Source organism: Homo sapiens, chromosome 2 (genome assembly GCF_000001405.40).
Source record: "Homo sapiens chromosome 2, GRCh38.p14 Primary Assembly".
In the NCBI taxonomy this organism is placed as follows: domain Eukaryota; kingdom Metazoa; phylum Chordata; class Mammalia; order Primates; family Hominidae; genus Homo; species Homo sapiens.
Window position 1 is genome coordinate 178,576,912 of NC_000002.12, and position 20,003 is coordinate 178,596,914.

General features: G+C 39.9%; 1 protein-coding gene and 1 long non-coding RNA gene across 23 annotated transcripts in view, besides 2 other annotated features; one reads left to right on the top strand and one right to left on the bottom strand.

The window, feature by feature from the left end:
• The window catches only part of TTN-AS1 (TTN antisense RNA 1), a 97,391-nt gene that overhangs the window by 54,085 nt on the left and 23,303 nt on the right, over positions 1-20,003 (top strand). The window contains exons 8-12 of one of the 2 annotated variants that reach the window (NR_038272.1): positions 5,661-5,795; positions 6,080-6,270; positions 6,613-7,010; positions 7,662-8,082; positions 14,228-14,403. The exons of the other annotated variant lie outside the window; for it this stretch is intronic. This is a non-coding gene — a long non-coding RNA (TTN antisense RNA 1). The remainder of the gene's footprint in view (positions 1-5,660; positions 5,796-6,079; positions 6,271-6,612; positions 7,011-7,661; positions 8,083-14,227; positions 14,404-20,003) is intronic. 2 annotated transcript variants of the gene reach the window in all.
• Positions 1-20,003, bottom strand: part of TTN (titin) — a 281,435-nt gene that overhangs the window by 50,923 nt on the left and 210,509 nt on the right. For all 21 annotated transcript variants that reach the window (NM_003319.4, NM_133437.4, NM_133432.3 and 18 more), the window contains 30 exons: positions 18,596-18,898; positions 17,433-17,735; positions 17,050-17,331; positions 16,657-16,956; positions 16,262-16,564; positions 15,864-16,172; positions 15,468-15,749; positions 15,067-15,366; positions 14,688-14,981; positions 11,627-14,593; positions 10,988-11,308; positions 10,605-10,889; positions 10,207-10,506; positions 9,594-9,896; positions 8,161-8,436; positions 7,758-8,057; positions 7,365-7,667; positions 6,696-6,995; positions 6,029-6,316; positions 5,385-5,681; positions 4,995-5,297; positions 4,588-4,893; positions 3,411-3,698; positions 3,028-3,318; positions 2,650-2,937; positions 1,895-2,482; positions 1,700-1,804; positions 1,077-1,274; positions 691-987; positions 12-599 (listed from right to left, as the gene is read on the bottom strand). In NM_003319.4, the coding sequence (NP_003310.4) occupies positions 12-599; positions 691-987; positions 1,077-1,274; positions 1,700-1,804; positions 1,895-2,482; positions 2,650-2,937; positions 3,028-3,318; positions 3,411-3,698; positions 4,588-4,893; positions 4,995-5,297; positions 5,385-5,681; positions 6,029-6,316; positions 6,696-6,995; positions 7,365-7,667; positions 7,758-8,057; positions 8,161-8,436; positions 9,594-9,896; positions 10,207-10,506; positions 10,605-10,889; positions 10,988-11,308; positions 11,627-14,593; positions 14,688-14,981; positions 15,067-15,366; positions 15,468-15,749; positions 15,864-16,172; positions 16,262-16,564; positions 16,657-16,956; positions 17,050-17,331; positions 17,433-17,735; positions 18,596-18,898 (11,868 nt within the window). The remainder of the gene's footprint in view (positions 1-11; positions 600-690; positions 988-1,076; positions 1,275-1,699; positions 1,805-1,894; positions 2,483-2,649; positions 2,938-3,027; positions 3,319-3,410; positions 3,699-4,587; positions 4,894-4,994; positions 5,298-5,384; positions 5,682-6,028; positions 6,317-6,695; positions 6,996-7,364; positions 7,668-7,757; positions 8,058-8,160; positions 8,437-9,593; positions 9,897-10,206; positions 10,507-10,604; positions 10,890-10,987; positions 11,309-11,626; positions 14,594-14,687; positions 14,982-15,066; positions 15,367-15,467; positions 15,750-15,863; positions 16,173-16,261; positions 16,565-16,656; positions 16,957-17,049; positions 17,332-17,432; positions 17,736-18,595; positions 18,899-20,003) is intronic.
• Positions 1,671-2,870: an enhancer, noted in NCBI's record as "CDK7 strongly-dependent group 2 enhancer chr2:179443309-179444508 (GRCh37/hg19 assembly coordinates)". NCBI's record gives its function as "activates an origin of replication core promoter dependent on BRD2, BRD4, P300/CBP, MED14 and CDK7 cofactors, with strong dependence on CDK7, by STARR-seq in HCT116 cells {active_cell/tissue: HCT116}" and the evidence as "EXISTENCE:reporter gene assay evidence [ECO:0000049][PMID:35650434]".
• Positions 14,699-15,898: an enhancer, noted in NCBI's record as "CDK7 strongly-dependent group 2 enhancer chr2:179456337-179457536 (GRCh37/hg19 assembly coordinates)". NCBI's record gives its function as "activates an origin of replication core promoter dependent on BRD2, BRD4, P300/CBP, MED14 and CDK7 cofactors, with strong dependence on CDK7, by STARR-seq in HCT116 cells {active_cell/tissue: HCT116}" and the evidence as "EXISTENCE:reporter gene assay evidence [ECO:0000049][PMID:35650434]".

Here is a 20,003-nt window from a genome sequence, read left to right on the forward strand (position 1 = left end):
GCTCTACATACCAAATCTGTCTACCATTTTGACAGGTTCAGACTGTACAGGTTCTCCTTTGCCATAGTGGTTTACAGCTGAGACCCGGAAGATGTACTCATTTCCTTGGATAAGTTTGGTTGCCACATGCCTGCAAGACTGAATATCTTCAGAAACCACTGTCCACAAAAGTCGGCTGGTTTCTCTCTTTTCAAGTATATAGGACTTAATTGGTGAGCCGCCATCTTCCAAGGGAGGTGTCCATGTAAGTGTTGCTTTTTCAGCAGAAACATTACTGATTTCAACAGGACCTGGGGGACCAGGTACATCAAGGACTGTTACCTTCACATGTTCCACCTTCGTGCCAAAAGGATTGGTAGCAGTGATGGTATATTCACCCGCATCTTTTCTAGTGGCATACTTGATAGTAAGCATGGAAGATGTTGGGGTTGAAGTTATCTGAGTGATATCTGATGGTCTAATGTCTTTTCCTGCCTTGGACCAACTTGATTTTGGAAGGGGTTTGCCAAGAATGCTAATGGCATTCAAAACAATGGTATCCCCTGCTTTAATTGTTAGCCCATCTTTTATTGTGGGATCAAGGACAATTGTTGGTGCCTCTGCAAAGAAAAAAATACATTTTAATCAGAAAAGGAAGGAGGCTTAATTTGCTTTAAAAAAAAAAGTACATAAAAAGTAAAATGGACCTACCGTATTCATCCTTGCAAATAATGGTTTCTGTACTTTCTGATGGAGCACTGATAGCACCTGCTGTATTCTTTGCTCTAATTCTGAATTCATATTTTCCACCCTCAACAAGGTCAGTTACAGTAAAGGCACATTCTGGGACATTAACATGGTTGGCTTTCATCCAAGACTTCGAAGGTAGATCTCGCTTCTCCACTATATATCCAGTTAACTTATGACCACCGTCATATTTAGGTTCAGTCCAAATGAGAGTCACTGAATTCCTTGTTATGTTAATAACCTCAGGTTTTCCAGGAGGATCTAAAACATAAAAGCAAAACCAGTCAAACAAATACCAGTTTTCTTCATGTAAAACATGCACCTGGGTTTTTCTTCATATAATGACTTACCAATTGGGTCCAGTGCCACAACAGGCTCTGATGGTAGGCTTGGCTTGCCCACACCTGCTAAATTGATTGCCATAACTCGGAATTCATATTCAAGACCTTCAGTTAATCCTGTCACTTTAAAGTCTCTCATCCTTATCGGAGTCTTGTTAGCTCTCTTCCACAAAAGGCTGTTTCTTTCCTTGAACTCGAGATGATACCCTACAAAAGACCCAGGGATGTATCAAGTATAAATGCAGCTTGATTTTACAATATATATGTGTTGCCCAAATTATTTATACATATCCATATATATTGAACAAGTAGTCATTCTTGCTAGTATCTATACTTTTATTACCCAAGCATAGTGCCATTTTTTTTTTCCTCTTGGAATATGCATAGTTGTTGTCTTTTTTGGTGAACAATTTTAACTTACAAAAATAGATATTATAATTAAGAAATACTTTATTAACTATTACATTAGGATATTTTCAATAAAATTAAACATTAACCATATGTACTGAAATAAAAACACATTTCTGTATAAGCAGATAATGTTATCGATAAGCACATGTTCAACTGTTCTCAGGGAAATATTTGTGAGGAATCTTGATGTAAAAGCTGTAGGATAAGAACAAACAAAATACCTGTAATTGGAGAACCACCAGTTTTCTTGGGGTCAGTCCAAGTTAGAGATACTGAATCGTGTCTGACATCCACAATATTGGGAGGTGGGGGAGCATCAGGCACATCTAGAAAAAAGTAGATAATGCAAGATTTATAATAAGAAGCCTCCTCAAAACCGTGTTTTGCTTTACGTCTTCTGAATTTAAGACACTTACCAAATGGATGTCTCGCAACAATTGGCTCCGATTTCAGGCCTTCCCCTACACCATATTTATTTTCGGCACTGACCCTGAAGGTATATTCCATGCCCTCATGAAGTCTGGTTACTCTAAAGGTGGTTTTCTGGACAGCTGAGGCGCACGTCACCCACTTGTTGTTCACAGAATCCCTCTTCTCTAGGATATAGTTGGTGATTTCAGAACCTCCATCATCCTTTGGAGGAGCCCACTTTAAGGTCATGGCTTCTGCTGTGACTTCATCAAATTTGATTGGTCCAGTGGGGATGCCAGGCTTGCCAACAACCTTTATGGAGATAGTTCCTTCCTTGGTGCCAGCAACATTCTTAAGTGTGATTGTGTATTTTCCAGCATCAGATTTTTGGCAATCGTACACTATAAGAGTTGTGTTAACCGCAGATGACTCAACACTGACTCTAGTGTCAGTTGCTAGAGGATCTTCCCCTTTCTTCCAGGAGACTGATGGAGCTGGCTTGCCTTTTATGGGGATCTTAAGCCGGAAGTTGCTGTTTTCTTTAGCCAAGTAGCACAAATCAGGTAGACCCTTTAAGTCAAGATCAGGAGCCACTGTAAAATAGCAGAGATAAATTACTGTTATTTTTAAGGCCAGGCGATTAACTTTTTCAAATAGTTCTAGCTTTTAACGGATTTTTAGATAAGCTAGTGAGTGGGACACAAGAGTGCACTTTCGATGACAATAAAGGAAAAATGAAGATGTGTGCATAGAGCCTTACCAACATCATCCCTTGCCACAACAGTGATTTCGCTTGGGGTTCCTTCTCCATTTTCATTCTCAGCACTCACTCTGAAGGTATATTCCTTCCCTTCAGTCAAATCTTTTGCAGAGTACTGTAGGCTTAAGGATTTCATAACTCGTTGCCACTTATTTTCTTCAGTCAGGAAATCAACTACATATCCAATAATCCGACTTCCACCATCACTGTGAGGCTTTTTCCAGCCAATGCTACAGGATGACTTAGATACAGACCTCACTTTCAGGTCCACAACTGGTCCAGGAGTTTCTAAAGCAAAGGAGAAATGATAAGTGTAAGCCCCATATAACAAAGGAAGGATATAACTCAAAATGATGGGATGATGGTTCATTTGCTTACGGGAAGCTTTGACAGCATCACGAGTTTCACCGGGATCACCAATGCCATACTCATTTTCAGCAAACACTCGGAAGAAGTAGGATTTTCCCTCCTCCAAATTAGCTACTCTGAAGCTTGTTTTGGAGCACTCAGTTGTCACTGTAGACCAGGATTTCCTCTCTGCATCACGTTTTTGTACCACATAGTTTATGATGGGGCTTCCGCCATCAATAATGGGAGGCTCCCAGGTAACATAAGCAGAGTCTTTGGATATTTCCTTAACAGTCACATTGACAGGTGGCCCAGGAGTATCTGGATAAATAGTAGGTAAATAAGAAATGAATGTGTAAAAAATACATAAGCTATTTTAAAATATATATGATTCTTTTTTGAAATAGACTTACCAAGCACTTTCACAACAATGGTATATTCCTTTTTACCACAGCTGTTCTCCAGGGTTAAGATATATTTTCCTGCATCATATTTGTTCACATTTTCACAGCGCAAGAAAGTGTCAAAGTCAGTTGACTTTATGTCCAGTCCAATCCTGTCTCTTAGATTGACATTTGGTTTAGACCAAGTAATCTTTGGAGGTGGGCGTCCTTTTACTGGTACATATAGTCTCATAGTAACTCCAGCACGTAATATGAGTGTCTTCCTTAAGTCCGCATCAAGTTCTCCCTCAGGTGGAACTGTTTAATTTTGGGTGAAGAAGTTAAATAAAAATTTAATAGTCAAATGTATTTCCAGGGACTGGCCTTGTCACTCCTAAAATACATTTATTTTCTAGAGCTGATTTCTTGTTCTTTAAAACTTCCTTAATACAATCCTCAAAATCATTTTTCTGTTCTGTACTAATTGTTGATCTTTCCATTTTCCACTATGCTTTAGGCTTAACCAGGTTTTCCCCCCGGAGGATCTGTACCTCCTCTTTCATGAGCCTTATGTACTCTGAAATGCTACATATATTAAAAGGAAAGTAGACGATTGATTTTTGGCTCCCTTTCATTCTTGTTTTTTCCTTTCTATATTCCATGAAGGTATTCTGCCACATATTCTAGCTCTCTTTATTATTTCATAGTAGGAAGAAAAGTACCTGGAGGGTGACATATAATATCAAGTAATTCAAATAAAGGGGAAATTATCATGGAGGATAAGCAAATAGAAGAAATAAGAAGAAGGGAAATTAAGATGGAGAGCCCACCAGTCACATACTTAGGGAGATGGTGGATTGGAAAACAGAAACCCTAAGAATAGTAAATAGCTCACTACTTAGTTAAAAGGCCTCTTTATTCCTAAAATAAAATTCTTACATTCCAATAAAATTCTCTCATTTCATGTCTTTTGAAGACAGGAAATTCTTATATATATGAAAAGCTTTTCAAAACCACAAATCATGTGCATTTGATTTGCCTGTTCCACAATACCGTAAAGTACCCACCCAGCTCTCCTAAAAAGTACTCTTGGAGTTACCAGCTCTACACCTTGTTAATAAATTAATCTACCTAAGGGAGTTCTAGTCTCCCTCTTAGAATATGATTAATAGGAAAAGCCTTATGTACTCCCCCTGGTAATACTTACTTAAGATGTCCTTGGGATAGTGTTTATCTGGCACATCACTGGGGTCACTGTATCCAATCTTATTAACGGCATACACACGGAATTGATATTGTGTGTCTTCCATCAGGCCAGTAACCTCAAAGCGGGTTTTCTGTAGATTCTGTGGTAAGTTGCACCTCACCCAGTTATCGGAGTCAGCCCGTTTTACTTCAACGAGATAACCAATGATAGGGCTGCCGCCGTCATAGGCTGGCTTGCCCCAAGATAGACTCACAGAGCTGCGAGTTGTATCATATACTTTAGGGAAAGCCGGTGGGCCAGGAGGATCTGAGAATAAATAATGATAGGAAATTTTCATGAAAACTTCCTTCCTGGGTGTTTAATGCTGCTTTTAACACAGGATATGGAACTCGTTCATGAACACTTACACTGAGGGTCCCGAGCATAAGCGGCCTTGGATGCGTCACTGGGTTTGCCTGGTCCAGCTTTATTTATAGCTGTAACACGGAACTCATATTCGGTACCTTCTTGAAGACCTGTTGCTTTTAATGTTCTTTCTATAATAGGTTTTCTGTTGACCTTAGTCCAGTTAACAGCCTGGGTTTCCCGCTTTTCAAGCAAATAGCCAGTGATGGGTGAGCCCCCATCATCTGCTGGTGGCTTCCAGCTGACTGTCATGTGATCTTTGGTTATGTTGCTAATAACAGGAGGATCACAGCGTCCTGGTGGGTCTGCAGAAATTGATTGAAAAGTTAATTTCCCAGGCTAAAAGATAATTTTAAAAAATAAAATGAAAAACCACCGGGAAATGTTCCTACCATATGGGTTTTTGGCAATTGCTGGTTCAGTGAAGACTGGATCGCCTACTCCATATTTATTTTCAGCACAAATACGGAACTGATACTCATGGCCCTCTATAAGTTTCTCCACGCTGCAGCTGGTGATAGGCACAGTTGCAGAGACTTGAGCCCAGTTGGGCCTGCTTGTTTCACGTTTGTCAACAATATAGTTGGTGATTTCTGAGCCTCCATCTTCAAGAGGCGGTTCCCAAGAAAGCATAGCACGATCTGAATACATTTTGTTGATTTTAACAGATGCTGGAGGACCCGGTTTATCTGAAGGAATAAGGAAGAAGAGTGAATATGTGGAATGGGGAATGAGTATAGAGTAGAGGTCTGGAGACCTGGGCTGCAGTCTTTCTATTGTCAATTTCCTATATGACCTAGGAGGTTAGTTAATTTTTTAGAATCTTAGTTTCTTCACTTGTAAAATTAGGTAATTGAAATATGTGATTTCTAAAGCTCTTTTTAACTCTAAAACGTGGTTCTGTCATAAGAATAATTCTGTGCATAGGAAATACACATTAGAATATGAATGTCTTCTCCCACATTATTCTGTAAATCCTATTTACATCCCATTATCCAAAGTAAAATATGGGATTCCAATGAAGTTTATTAGTTACCTAACACTTTAAGCTTAATGGTGGCTGATTTAGAACCACTTGAATTTTCAGCAGTAATGGTATAGTCTCCTGAGTCCTTCCGGTTCACGCTGAATAGCTCCAAGGTGCACAGATTCCGCTGCATGGCCATCTTTATGCCTTCTGCTGGTTTTAGCAGTGTGCCATCTTTTTTCCAAGAAACTGTTGGCATCGGTTTACCAAAAACAGTAGCATCCAAGCAGACATTAGTTCCAGCTTTCACAGTAAGCAAAGATTTCATAGCCACACTCAGGTCTATCCTGGGAGGGACTGGAAAGAAATAAGATAAAGGACTTAATGTATGCAAAGCTATATTATGTAATCCTTATTAATAATAGTGGGAAATTCATATGCTGCTTCTTTCAAGAATGGAATTTTAGTGTTATTTCATTTTGTTTATTTTTAATAGACAAATAATAACTGCACTATTGAATAACTATTGAAATTATATAGTTGCCACAGTTGTGTATCTTGCTTTTTAATTTAGCATGTTATTATGATTCTCCATAATCATAATGTTTGTGTCTATATACAAAACATCATTTTAATTTTCCTTTTTTCCTTAGGTGTATATTTAGTTTTTTATTAGGAAAAATGACCATCATGAATGCTGTTACATCTTTGCCTATAATACTCAGCAGAATCTTACCATTTTCTGCGAGGATAGTCACTGGATCAGAAGGTTCAGAAGGTGGGCTAATGTTTACCGCGGTCCTGGCAATAGCTCTAAATTGATACTGAGCTTTCTCTTCTAGGCCAGTAGCTGTGTACTCTTCCTGGGGAATCTGGTGAGGTGCAGTATTGCACCGTACCCATTTATCACCAGGAAGTTTGCAAGCTTCTACGAAATAGCCAATAATTTTACTGCCTCCATCATGCTTTGGACGAGCCCAGATCAGAGATACAGTACTCTTGGTGACATCAATAACCTCAGGTTTCCCAGGAGGATCTAAAACAAAAAGAGGTACACTCACCATTTATCTTACCAGCAGAAGTTTAAACTTCCATATTTCACATTATCATCCCTGCTGCTAAGTAACAAGCTCAACAGGAAGACAATTATCCCATTTTAATAACCGTCCAACTAGTATGCACTTTTGAGTCCTTGCTGTATGCTTTAAAGGAAATTATATGTCCTTTTCTTTTTTTAATATGTCATCTTCATTGTAAGAGATAGAACATATTCTTAAATGGGAGTTGTAATCTTCAGATCTCTACTACTCTCTGTGTCTTGGAGTCCAAATCTTAGACTCCGAGATTTAAATGTGCCTCCATAATACTAAAACAACAACAACAATAAAAAAACCCCAAAACTTACCAACTGGCATTCTTGCAGTTACATATTCTGTGGGTTTGCTGGGTGGGCTGGATCCAGCTTTGTTTAGGGCATAGATTCTGAATGAATACTCAAGACCTTCTACAAGGCCAGCACAAGGATATTCAGTTGACCGGACAAGAGTATCATTGGCTTTCACCCACAGCAAACTGTTTCTTTCCTTGCGTTCAATCAGATAACCAATAATGGGGCTCCCTCCATCACTATCTGGTCTGTCCCAAGCAACAAAAATACAGTCCTTGTTGACTTTGGTGACTCGTGCATTCTTTGGTTCACTAGGAACACCTGGAGATGAAGACAAGGAAGATGTCAGTTTCTACATTAAGTAACAAACTAGAAAGAAAACAACTTTTTTTCTCCTTCACAAAAACATACCAAATGGGAACTGCGCAACCATCTTTGGAGATGTGAGAGGCTCTGAAATGCCAAATCGGTTTTCAGCACGGACCCGGAAGATGTACTCCTGGCCTGGGATCAGCTTTCCAACCCTGCAGGAAGTTTTTGTGACTGAAGCTAGAGCCGTGACCCAGTCACCTCGGCTTACATCACACTTCTCCACTATATAATTGGTGATGTTACTGCCTCCGTCCTCCAGAGGGATGTGCCATGACAGGGAGCAAGCATCAGCGTCTATATCAGAAATGTCAAATGGAGGCTGAGGGGGGCCGGGGGCATCTACATGAACCAAGAGGAAAGAAATGTAAGAACAAGGATTTGATACGTAAAAATATTTCTGAGCTTCATATTTAGATGGCCATTTGTCTAATACTTAACTTACCCATGACTACAACTTTGATTTTCTGAGTGTCTGTCCCAGAACTGTTCTCTGCTGTGAGGCTGTAGTAACCACTGTCTTTCCTAGTCACATCTTTTATGATCAGAATTGAAGAGCTGTCTGCTTTATGCACTGCCAGGTGGCTGGATGTGACAACTTCATCTTCTCCTTTTTTCCATTTACAGGTGGGATGAGGCTTTCCATACACATGGGCTTCAATTCGGAGTTTTTTCCCAGCTTTGATAGTTATTTGCTCTGGCATAAGGATCTTTGGTGGCACTGAAAGTAAAATGAAAAGATATTAATTTTGGGAAGGTGGATAAGTTTCTTCTGGTGGAGAGCTATACTGGTGCAAATTAATGCTTGTATTACCACCAATTTTTTTTAATATATACTTTAAGTTCTGGGATACATATGCAGAATGTGCAGGCTTGTTACATAGGTATACATGTGCCATGGTGATTTGCTGCACCCATCAACACATCGTCTACATTAGGTATTCTCCTAATGCTATCCTTCCCCTAGCCTCCCAACCCCTGACAGGCCCCAGTGTGTGATGCTCCCCTCCCTGTGTCCATGTGTTTTCATTGTTCAGCTCCCACTTATGAGTGAGAACATGTGGTGTTTGGTTTTCTGTTCTTGTGTTTGCTGAGAATGATGGTTTCCAGCTTCATCCATGTCCCTGCAAAGGACATGAACTCATCCTTTTTTATGGCTGCGTAGTATCCTGTGGTGTAAATGTGGTGCCACATTTTCTTTATCCAGTCTGTCATTGATGGGCATTTGGGTTGGTTCCAAGTCTTTGCTATTGTGAACAGTGCCACAATAAACATACATGTGCATGTGTCTTTATAGTAGAATGATTTATAATCCTTTGGGTATATACCCAGTAATGAGATTGCTGGGTCAAATGGTATTTCTGGTTCTAGATCCTTGAGGAATCGCCACACTGTCTTCCATAATGGTTGAACTAATTTACACTCCCACCAACAGTGTAAAAGCTTTCCTATTTCTCCACATCCTCTCTAGCACCTGTTGTTTCCTGACTTTTTAGTGATCACCATTCTAACTGGTGTGAGATGGTATCTCATTGTGGTTTTGATTTGCATTTCTCTAGTGACCAGTGGTGATGAGCTTTTCTTCATATGTTTGTTGTACAGCCAATATTTTTAAAAACACAGAATAGGGTAGAAAACATAAGAATGCACATGATAATAAATGGGTATTGTTTCAGGAAATGTTTTTTAGTTATATATGTGTTTGTATAAGTTTATTTACTGTGTGTTTTTGGCCCACTCATGTGTTTGAAAGCCACTGTTCTCTACTGTTTTTCAAGAATTTCTAGAGCTAGATTCCTCAGGGAGAAATGTCTACATATAAAAGAAGAAATTCTAATAAACTTACCACATGACATAAATGAAGCAAAGACTACTTACACAGTTGTTCTTTGGCTTCATACACTCCTTCAGCTTCTCTTGGCAAACTGACTCCAACAGCATTTCTGGCCGCTACTCTAAATTTGTATTTCTTTCCTTCCTTTAGGCCAGTGACAACAAGGCTCAGATCTTTTACCACTGAGTACTCTGTCCAGCGATCTGCAGGCTGCTCTTCTTCTCTGTAACTAGTGATGTAGCCATCGATTTTAGCACCTCCATCACGTAGGGGAGGTAACCAGGCTAAGGTGGCACTGTTCTTGGTCATTTCAGTCACTTCTAATTTCCTTGGGGGATCCGGCTCACCTAGAAGAAAAACATAATTTAGAAGATTACCTAGGTAACCTAATCAAATCCCCTTTGTTAATGTACATAAGAGTTTTAGTATGGATTTGCTCCAATGTACATAGAACCTGTAGTTCAGTACATTAAAAGCAAAACATATAAGATGAGACAGATCAAAAAAGTGTTTCATGAGTGAGATAGATATTTATTACACTATTTCGGTCTCTACAAATGAAATCTCTTTCAGAAGTGGATTAAAATGGTATTAGTATCTTGACCTTGCTAAAATAGGAGACTGGGGTTAAAAGGAGGAAGAAAGCATAATACTTACTTAGAGGATCTGATGCAAGCACTGGTTTTGGGACATCTGTTGGGACGCCAGGGCCATATTCGTTGACAGCAGTTACTCTGAAGTAATACTCATTCCCAGGGACAAGATTGGTTACATGGAAGCTTGTTTTCTTAACTTCTGGGGTAACGGTCGACCATGTCTTTCTGTCTGCCTCACGTTTCTCCACGATATAATGTGTCACTTGGCTCCCACCGTCGTTTTCAGGAGGGGCCCAGGACACATGGCATGATGTTTTAGTGACATCTGAAACTTTTAAATCAGACACAGGCCCAGGAGTGTCTGTAAAGAATCATAAAATCAGATATACATGTCTCCTCAGCATCCCTATTAACAAATTCATTTTTGAAGTGGGAGGGAGAAGCATTTTAGTAACCCACCTAATACTCTGACATTTACGAATACAGCCTTTTCTCCTGCTGGGTTCACAAGTGTTAAGGAATATTTTCCTGAGTCATCACGGGTAGAATTGGGGATGACAAGGAAGGCCATAGTGTCAACCAGATCAACTTGTCCTTTTCTGACCACATTATCAATGCCAACTTTTCGCCAAGTGACTTTAGGGGCTGGTCGTCCTCTCACTATAGCAAAGAGACGAATAGGGCATCCTGCTCTCACTATGACCAGTTTCCTCATGCTGGCATCCAAATCAATCTCCGGAGGTTCTGCAAATGACATTAAGGTCATTAATTGATTTTTCAGAATGTGGGGAAATCATAAGAAATTAAGTGTGAATGAATCACATGCTAAGGGAAGGACTTACCTAGTATTTCTTTAGGTTTGATAGCTTCCTTTAGCTCTGCAGGGCGCCCAATACCAACTTGGTTTTGGGCACACACCCTGAACTCATATTCCTGGTTTTCATCCAAGCTGGTAACAGTGAATTCCTTGCGTACAAGCTGTGCTGCAGCATTACACCGTTTCCAGCCTTCATCAGGAGACGCATCTGCTATTTTTGGTCTCATTTCCACAACATATCCAATGATCGGTGCACCACCATCATAGACTGGTTTTCCCCACCCAAGAGTTATGGAATGTTTGGTTGTATCAACCACTCTGAAATTGGTTGGTGGACCAGGTGGCTCTGAAAGTAAAATATACATATAGTTAACTACTACTAGTGATACTTCAATGTGTAATTTTATATAGCCTATTCTCAGTTAATCAAATATAGGTCATCCAATTTTTCAATTAGTGTCCTCTTTATTTTCCTTCATAAAAATGAGAATCTACTATTGTTTGTACCTTTTAGGTATTTTGGTAAAAGGTCTATTTGGAAAAATATTTGCTAAATACAGTTTGGATGTTACAGATTTAGATGTTACATTAACTTATTTATCGAATACTTCTGTGCTTGAGATTAAGAGTTGCTGTAATATCAGAAAAAACAAGGACATCCTACCTATGGGGTCTTTTGCCACCACCGGTCTTGAAGGCAAGCTTGGTTCTCCAATTCCAATTTCATTTTCTGCCTTGACACGGAACTGATATTCATGGTCTGGGAGGAGATTCTGTACTTTCATACGTCTCTCAGGGATTGCACTCTTGTTGACAGGGACCCATCGTGTTGAATGCTTTTCCTTTTTCTCCAAAAAGTATCCAGTTATAGACTTTCCACCATCATATTCAGGTGGATTCCAAACCACAGTCATCTCTTCTTTGCTTACTTTAGTGACTTCTGGGGGATCAGGGCGACCAGGTTTATCATACTTGGTTTTGGCTATGACTGGTTTACTTTCTGTTGGAGGCCCTGTGCCTATTTTATTTTCTGCACGGACTCTGAAAATATATTCATTTCCTTCTATGAGACGTGTTACTGTAGTACCAGGTGTCAAGACAGTAGCAGAATAGGTAGACCAAACCATTCGCTTTGTCTCACATTTTTCTAGAATATAATTTTGGATTTCACAGCCACCATCATCTTCTGGTGGATCCCAGCAAACAGTACACCTATCACTGGACACATCAACAATTTTCAGATTTCTCACAGGACCAGGCTTATCTAAAACATTGACAGTGGCATAGGCCACAAAACTGCCAGCCGTGTTAGTTGCCGTAACTACATATTTACCCCCATCACTTCGCTTTGCTTTAGTAAGAGAAAATTTAGATGAATCAGCACGGGTATCAATCTTGACCCTTGGTGATCTTGTTAAGTCTGTAGCGTCTTTGTCCTTGGTCCATGCAACTTCTGGGAATGGTTTGCCTCTAACCCCTGCCTCAAGCCTAATGGTGTCCCCTGCTTTGACAGTTAGGACCCCACTTAATTTCAGATCAAGTACTGGTTTTTGTAAGTCTTCTTTCACAACAACTTCCTCTGTCTTCACCCAGTCACTTTCCCCACCTTCATTCTTTGTTTGCACTCTGAACTCATAAATCTGGTTTTCAACACATCTGTCAACCATGTAGTGAGTTTCTTTAATGCTTCCTTTATGCACTCTTTCCCAGTCATCGGAGCCCTTAAGCCTTCTCTCAACATGATATGACAGATTTGGACTGCCACCATCATAGTCAGGCCTCCGCCACTTTAGATAGACAAATGTCTTTCCTTTATCTGCAATGTGAAGGTTTTCAGGCTCACCTGGTCTGTCAATAGGGTTAATAGCCAGAATGGGAGTTTTTGTTTCGATGGTTGGCCCAACACCTACTTTATTCTCTGCACAAACTCGGAAATAGTATTCATTGTTGGCTAAAAGGTTGGCCTTGATTAATCGTTTAGTGACATCTGATGCAACAATTGACCAGCCTTTCTGGTTTGGTTTGCGATATTCTACTATGAAGTTTGTTATTTCTGAGCCACCATTATCTAGTGGGTTTTCCCAAGAAATTGTACAGTTCTCTTTGGTTACATTGGTAACCTTCAAATTCTGGCAAGGCCCAGGTCTGTCAAGGACGTTAACGATGGCTGAACCTTGGGCATGTCCACTGCTGTTCTTAGCTGAGATGATATACTTGCCATGATCAGCTCTAACAGCTTCTTTAATTTGTAACTCAACACGAGGTAGATCCTGAATAAGGTCCACCCTCTTTTCTCGGACCAATACTTTGCCTTCCTTAGTCCAAGTTATGTCTGGTTCAGGTCTGCCTTTGACTCGAGCTAGAATGCGGATAGTTTGGCCTACTCTCACGGTAATAACATCACGACAAGTAACATCAAGTTCTACTTCTGGAGGATGAAGGATATCTTTTGCAATCACAGATTCTGCTAGTTCTCTTGGCTCACCCTCTCCTACAATATTAGCTGCCTTTATACGGAATCTGTACTCATTTCCTTCAATTAGTCCAGGTACCCTAAAGGCACATTGCCTAATGAGTTCATCTTTATTAATCCTGTTCCATTGTGCTGTGCCAGGTTTCTGACATTCCACTACATATCCTAGAATGGGGCTACCACCATCACTGAGAGGCTTTGTCCACACCAAATCAGCTGTTTCTCTGCTCTTGTCTTTCAGTTTAGGATTAATAGGTGGTCCAGGTGGTTTGATGGGCCGGCAAGCTTTTATTGGATCAGAACTTGGGGATGGTTTGCTTAGTCCTGCAAGATTTTCAGCAAAAACTCTAAACTCATATGTATTTCCTTCATAGAGTCCAGTCACTCTGAACTTCAGGTCAGCGATAGGTGTTTTGTTGACCCTCACCCATTTGCCAGTTACTTCTCGACGTTCCATATAGTAGCCAGTTATTGGACTGCCACCATCAGATTTTGGCAGGGTCCAAGACACTGTTGCTGCATTTTCAGTAATGTCAGTAACCACTGGTTTACCAGGAGGAGACGGAGGACTAAATTTATGCTTAGCAACAGTAGGTGTGGAGTCAAGGGGAGGACCAACACCTATCTTATTCTCTGCTCTAACTCGGAAAACATATTCACAGCCCTTCTGCAGATGTGGGATTTTCAGCTTTGTCTTACTGCTTCCGGAAGAGACAACACCCCACGTGTCTTTCCTTGTATCTTGTTTCTCAACAATATAATTTATCACAGGGCTTCCTCCATCATCCTTAGGTGGCTGCCATGAGATAGTCATGTGTTCAGGAGTAACATCCAGAATATTAATAGGACCTGTTGGTGGCCCAGGAACATCAAGAACAGTAAGATGTACGGCTACTGTTTTGCTACCGGCTGCATTGGAAACTGTGATTTGATATTCCCCAGTGTCTCTCCTTAAGCAGTTCTTAATGGTAAGTACTGATGAGAAGTTGTCTGTTTCAACTGTGTAGTGCTCATCGGTTTTAATCTCACTCCCATCGGTTGTCCACTTTGCAGTAGGAACAGGCACACCTCTTATAATAGCAGGGAATCTGACTGTGGTTCCAGCCTTTACCACAAGACCTTCAATTAATTTCACATCTAGCTCCACGGATGGAGGCACTGAAAAGTAAACATGAAAAAATTAGATTTTGATTTTCACCTATATGAATAATTTTAAAAAGAAATAAGGTAATACTGCTAGTCCAAAAATTACCTAGTTTTTCTTGACATTCTATCGGGATAGTTGTGTCAGGGAGACCAAGACCCACAATGTTTTCAGCTTTTACACGGAATCTATAGGTCTTTCCTTGTTGTAGTCCAGTAACCACACACTCTAAGTTTGTCACAGTCTTAAATTTAATCCAGTCCTGGGTGCCTTCTTCTTGATATTCTACCAAATATCCAGTGATTGGAGAACCACCATCACGATCCGGCTTATTCCAGACTAGGGAGACTTCAGTCTTGTCAACATCTACATGGTGCAGGTCCTTGGGTGGCCCTGGGGGATCTTTTCAAAGAAGAAGTTATGATGAAAAAGTAATATTCTTAAAGACAGTCAAACAATAGTTTTGTATTCAGAGAAAGCAACTTACGGAGAGGATCCAAAGCCTTGATTGGTTTTGGTGTTTCAACAAAAGGACCACGTCCATACTGGTTCTCCGCAGCTACTCGGAAGAGGTACTGGTTGCCTTCATTCAGATGCTTAGCGAAGTGACTCTTTTTCTTTGATGTAGCTGAGAGAGGTGACCACTGGGCGCTGGCAACATCTCTCCTCTCAACCACATAATTGGTAATAACAGAACCACCATCATCCAGTGGTTCTTTCCAAGTAAGGTAACATGAATCTTTCCTAATTTCACTGACTTCCAGATCTCTAGGTGGCCCAGGTTTATCTAAAAAGTGTTAAATAACAGTTTGATAAGTAATTTTATCCATATAAGAGCTCAAAATTATCAAAATTTATTTTTAATGGCCTAAGTAGTAAAATTCTTACCTAATACAAGTACTTTTACTGAGACAGTTTTTGAACCAGCTGGATTCTCCACTGTTAAAGAATAAATTCCACCATCTTCATGGGCAGCATTACGAATTTCAAGCTTGCTACCAACTGGAGTCACATCAATTCTTGCTTTAGTTGGAGCATCTCTGTCTTCTTTTTTCCAAGTTACTTTTGGGAATGGCACTCCTTTGATGATGGCACTAAGTCTTAGAGTATCACCAACTTTAATGTGTTGTTCTCTTGCCATGTTGGCATCAAGAATCAACTCAGGGGGTTCTAGAATAAAGAGAACAGAACACTCAGATTTGATCCATAATGCAGATTACAATTAAACACATACAATCAGACATCTATTTTCCTTGCAAACACAAGTGAGAGCATTTTACTCACCAAGCCTGTCTTTTACTAGGACTGGCTCCGGAACATGAGCTGGATCTGATTCACCAGCTGCATTGACTGCTAACACTCTAAACTTATAGGTTTGACCGTCCCGAAGACCGGTGACTTTATATTTAGTTTCAGGACATGACTCAGGGGTGTGATTGGCTCTTCTCCACTCTTCATCTCCAACTTTCTGGTACTCAACAATATAACCCAGAATCTTGCTCCCACCATCATGACGTGGTGGCTGCCAAGTTAGATCGACTGAATTGCATGTTGTATCTATTGCTTCAGGATTAACAGGTGGACTTGGTTTAGCTAAAAAATAAAAGTAAAAAACGAATTAGCATATAGCTGAAAACAAAGTTAGATAACATGAAAACTGAATAAATCCATTAATACTATACCAATTGGATCTTTAGCAAAGACTGGTTTGGATGGTGGGCTTGGATCTCCAATACCAATTTCATTTTCTGCAGAAACCCGGAATTCATACTGACATCCTTCTAGAAGATCAGGAACCCTAAATTTAGTGTATGGATGAATAGGATCTTTGGTAACTCTAGCCCATCGTTTAGACATAGTTTCTCTCTTTTCCAGGATGTAGTTTGTGATGGGTTTTCCTCCATCATGTGGCTTATTCCAGGTTACTAATGCAGAGTCTTTGGTAACTTCTGTAACAATTGGCTGATCAGGTGCATCAGGAACCCCTGTAACAAATGTTGGAAAATGCGTTAGAAATTTATTTCTTTATATTAGTTTTATCAAGCATTGAATCACTAAAAAGAAACATAATGCATACTGAAACGATCTTTGGCTTTCATTGAATCAGACACCAGAGGATCACTTATTCCATACAGATTTTCAGCATGTATCCGGAAAATATAATCTTTTCCTTCAAGTAGTTTAGAAACTTTGCATGTTGTTTTAGCACTTGCAGATGTCACTGGCATCCAGACGTCTTTACCCACTTCCTTCTTCTCAATAATATAATTGGTGATTTTACTGCCTCCATCATCTAAAGGAGGCTTCCAAGAGATAACCATGTAATCTTTGGTCACCTCATCAAAACTAACTGGTCCTACTGGTGGTCCAGGACGGTCTGCAGAAAAAAAAAATCATGGCACAAAATGTTATTGCCATTTCTGCTTTTGAAAGAACAGAAGATCTATTCTTTCCACTAAATAAGACTTACCAACAACATTAACTTGACAGAAACCTTTCCTAGAGCCTGTACTGTTCTCCACAACCACACAGTATTTGCCGGAATCTGAACGTTTGGCCTTGATCTTCTCTAAAGCAAGTGTTGCTGGTGTAGTCTTTATATGAGTGCGATCATCTTCCAGCACATCAGCTTCATCTTTGAACCAGGAAACCTTAGGCTTTGGTTTGCCTGAGTAACGGCCAGTGAGGGCAAAAGCTTCACCAACTCGAATCGTGAGCTTATCTCTGAAGTCGAGGTGAAGCGTTGGGGGTGCTAAAATTTGTAATTATAAAGGCAAGTCATTTTTATTGATGTCTTATTACAAATCTACAAATGTGCAAGTTTCAGAAGTATAAATTGTAGTAGACACATACCCAGCTCATCCTTGCAAGTAATTGGTTTGGTGCAAAATGATGGTTTGCCTTGTCCAACAATGTTGACAGCACTGACACGGTACTCATAGGTATCACCTTCTTTTAAGCCTTTAACAGTGTATTTTCTGCTAAGCAAGTTGTCATTTGTAACTTTGTGGAACTTCTCAGTCCCAATGAGCCGACTTTCTAGGACATAGTTAATAATTTCTGACCCACCATCATACTTAGGAGGATTCCAAGTCAAAGTTACAGTATTTTTAGTAACTTCTTTGACTTCCAGGTCTTCAGGACGCTCTGGTACAGCTGCGAATATAAGTATAGGAATTGTGGTAGAAAAAAATGTCACATTAAGAATGTAGTAGGATGTAGTGAATATTCCTTTTCTGAAGATTGCATTTAAACATTAAACTCTCTGCTCCCATAAATAGCAAAAGAGATCTCATCATAAAACTATTAGAGTTAAAAAGGACCCAATACAATTGAATTTCTTCACTTGACAGATGAGGAAATAGAGGTTTGTTGAGGCAAAATAATTTAGGAAAGGTCTTCAGAATTGGTAGTTTTAGAAGTAGGAAAATAATTCAGTTTCTATTAATGCCATTAAGTGGGAAATTAAAAAAAAATCTGTGAGGTATAGATGGAAGAAATTTGATAAATGAACTAGGAGTGGTAATGCCAGCACTTTCGGAGGCCGAGGCAGGTGGATCACTTGAGGCCAGGAGTTTGAGACCAGCCTGGCCAACATGGCAAAACCCTGCCTCTACTAGAAATAGAAAAATTAGCTGGGCATGGTGGTGCATGTCTGTAATCCCAGCTACTCGGGAGACTGAGACACAAGAATCACTTGAACCTCAGAGGTGGAGGTTGCAGTGAGCCAAGATCATGACACTATACTCCAGCCTCGGTAACAGTAAGACTATGTGTCAAAACAAAACCAAAAAGAAAAAAAAAAACAAAAAGAAATTCAATGAATTATACATATTTGTAAAATCTCTTTCACAATCACTGTCCAAATACTACCAAATCAGATACTGAGTAGTTGTGTGATAACTGCTTGTCAAGTGAATGAAATGTACGGCATTTATACACATATTTTTTCACCATAGTCTTGTACTAAATGAGTAAAGAAGTGATTAAGTATACATTTTTTTTTTTTTACTTACTTATTGGCTCTCTGATAACAAGTGCCTCTGATGTCTCAACAAATGGACCCATGCCAATACTATTTTCAGCCGCAATTCGGAAAAAGTAGGCTTTTCCTTGAATGAGACCCTGGACAGTAGCATTTTGTCGGGTAACTGTATATGTCACTGGGGTCCATGCTCTGCGGTCAGATTCACGCTTTTCAATGACATAATTGGTGATTGGAGAGCCTCCATCATCTTCTGGAGAAAACCATGTCAGTTTGCAGGACTCATTGGTTAGGTTGTGAGCTAGGAATGGTGTTCCAACGGGACCTGGAACATCTGGAAATAAGAAGAAAATAATTCAAGCTGTTTGCCTTCAATGAAAGATAATGCTCAACACTTGTTTTTTTAAAAGGAGACAAAAATGTTGTTTTGAAGAAAGTAAGGTTTTGTGTCTACTAATTGAGTTAGTTTTTCCTTCTGCTATCTAGTCAATACAAAAACAGTCAACCACTTTTTTTTTTTTTTTTTTTTTTTGAGATGGGAGTCTCGCTCTGTCACCCAGGCTGGAGTTCAGTGGCACAATCTCAGCTCACTGCAACCTCCGCTTCCCAGGTTCAAGCAATTCTCCTGCCTCAGCCTCCCAAGTAGCTGGGACTACAGGCATGTGCCACCATACCAGGCTAATTTTTGCATTTTTAGTAGAGACAGGGTTTCACCATGTTGGTCAGGCTGGTCTCGAACTCCTGACCTCAAGTGATCCACCTGCCTTGGCCTCCCAAAGTCAGGGGATTACAGGTGTGAGCCATAGCATCAAGCCCCATATTTGTTAATGAAGTAGGTTTGCAACAGTTATTGGTTACCATGGTTTTAGTAGAGGCTGAAGGGAAAATAAAAATGCTTTTTAAAAGCAATTTGTGAGTTGGACAGGAGGGAGCTGGGAGGCAAGCATGCAGAGGGATACAAGAGATGGGTAAGAGTGGCATAGTCAGTTTCTATGTCCAGTTTCCTCTGCAGGGGAAACGGAGAGAGAGATGGTTTATTTCTGGATGACCAGTGGATCAACAAGCAGCATAGGAGGCCCCAAATTTCAGAATGACTTTGAGGAGGTTGCAAATAATTAACGTGGAAATGTACCAGTTCTCAAATTAAAGTAATAACCATTAGGCAAAAGAGCTTTAGGTGCTTGAAACTAACCTGAAAGTTTGTGGGGCTACTGCTTAATGAAATATTTTTCCTTATGCCATTCTTATATTAATTATATTCAACATAGAACTGGCAATTTTCACATAAAAACTGTGGCTGGAGTATTGTTGTGCCTAGAGACATGCTTAGAAAGAGCCCTGAGTGGAAAGGCTTCGTGTTCTGAGCAAATCACTGGACTAAAGCCTCCAGTGAGAGCCATGAAAAAGCCTCATAGAGTTCAACTCTATATTCAGTGACT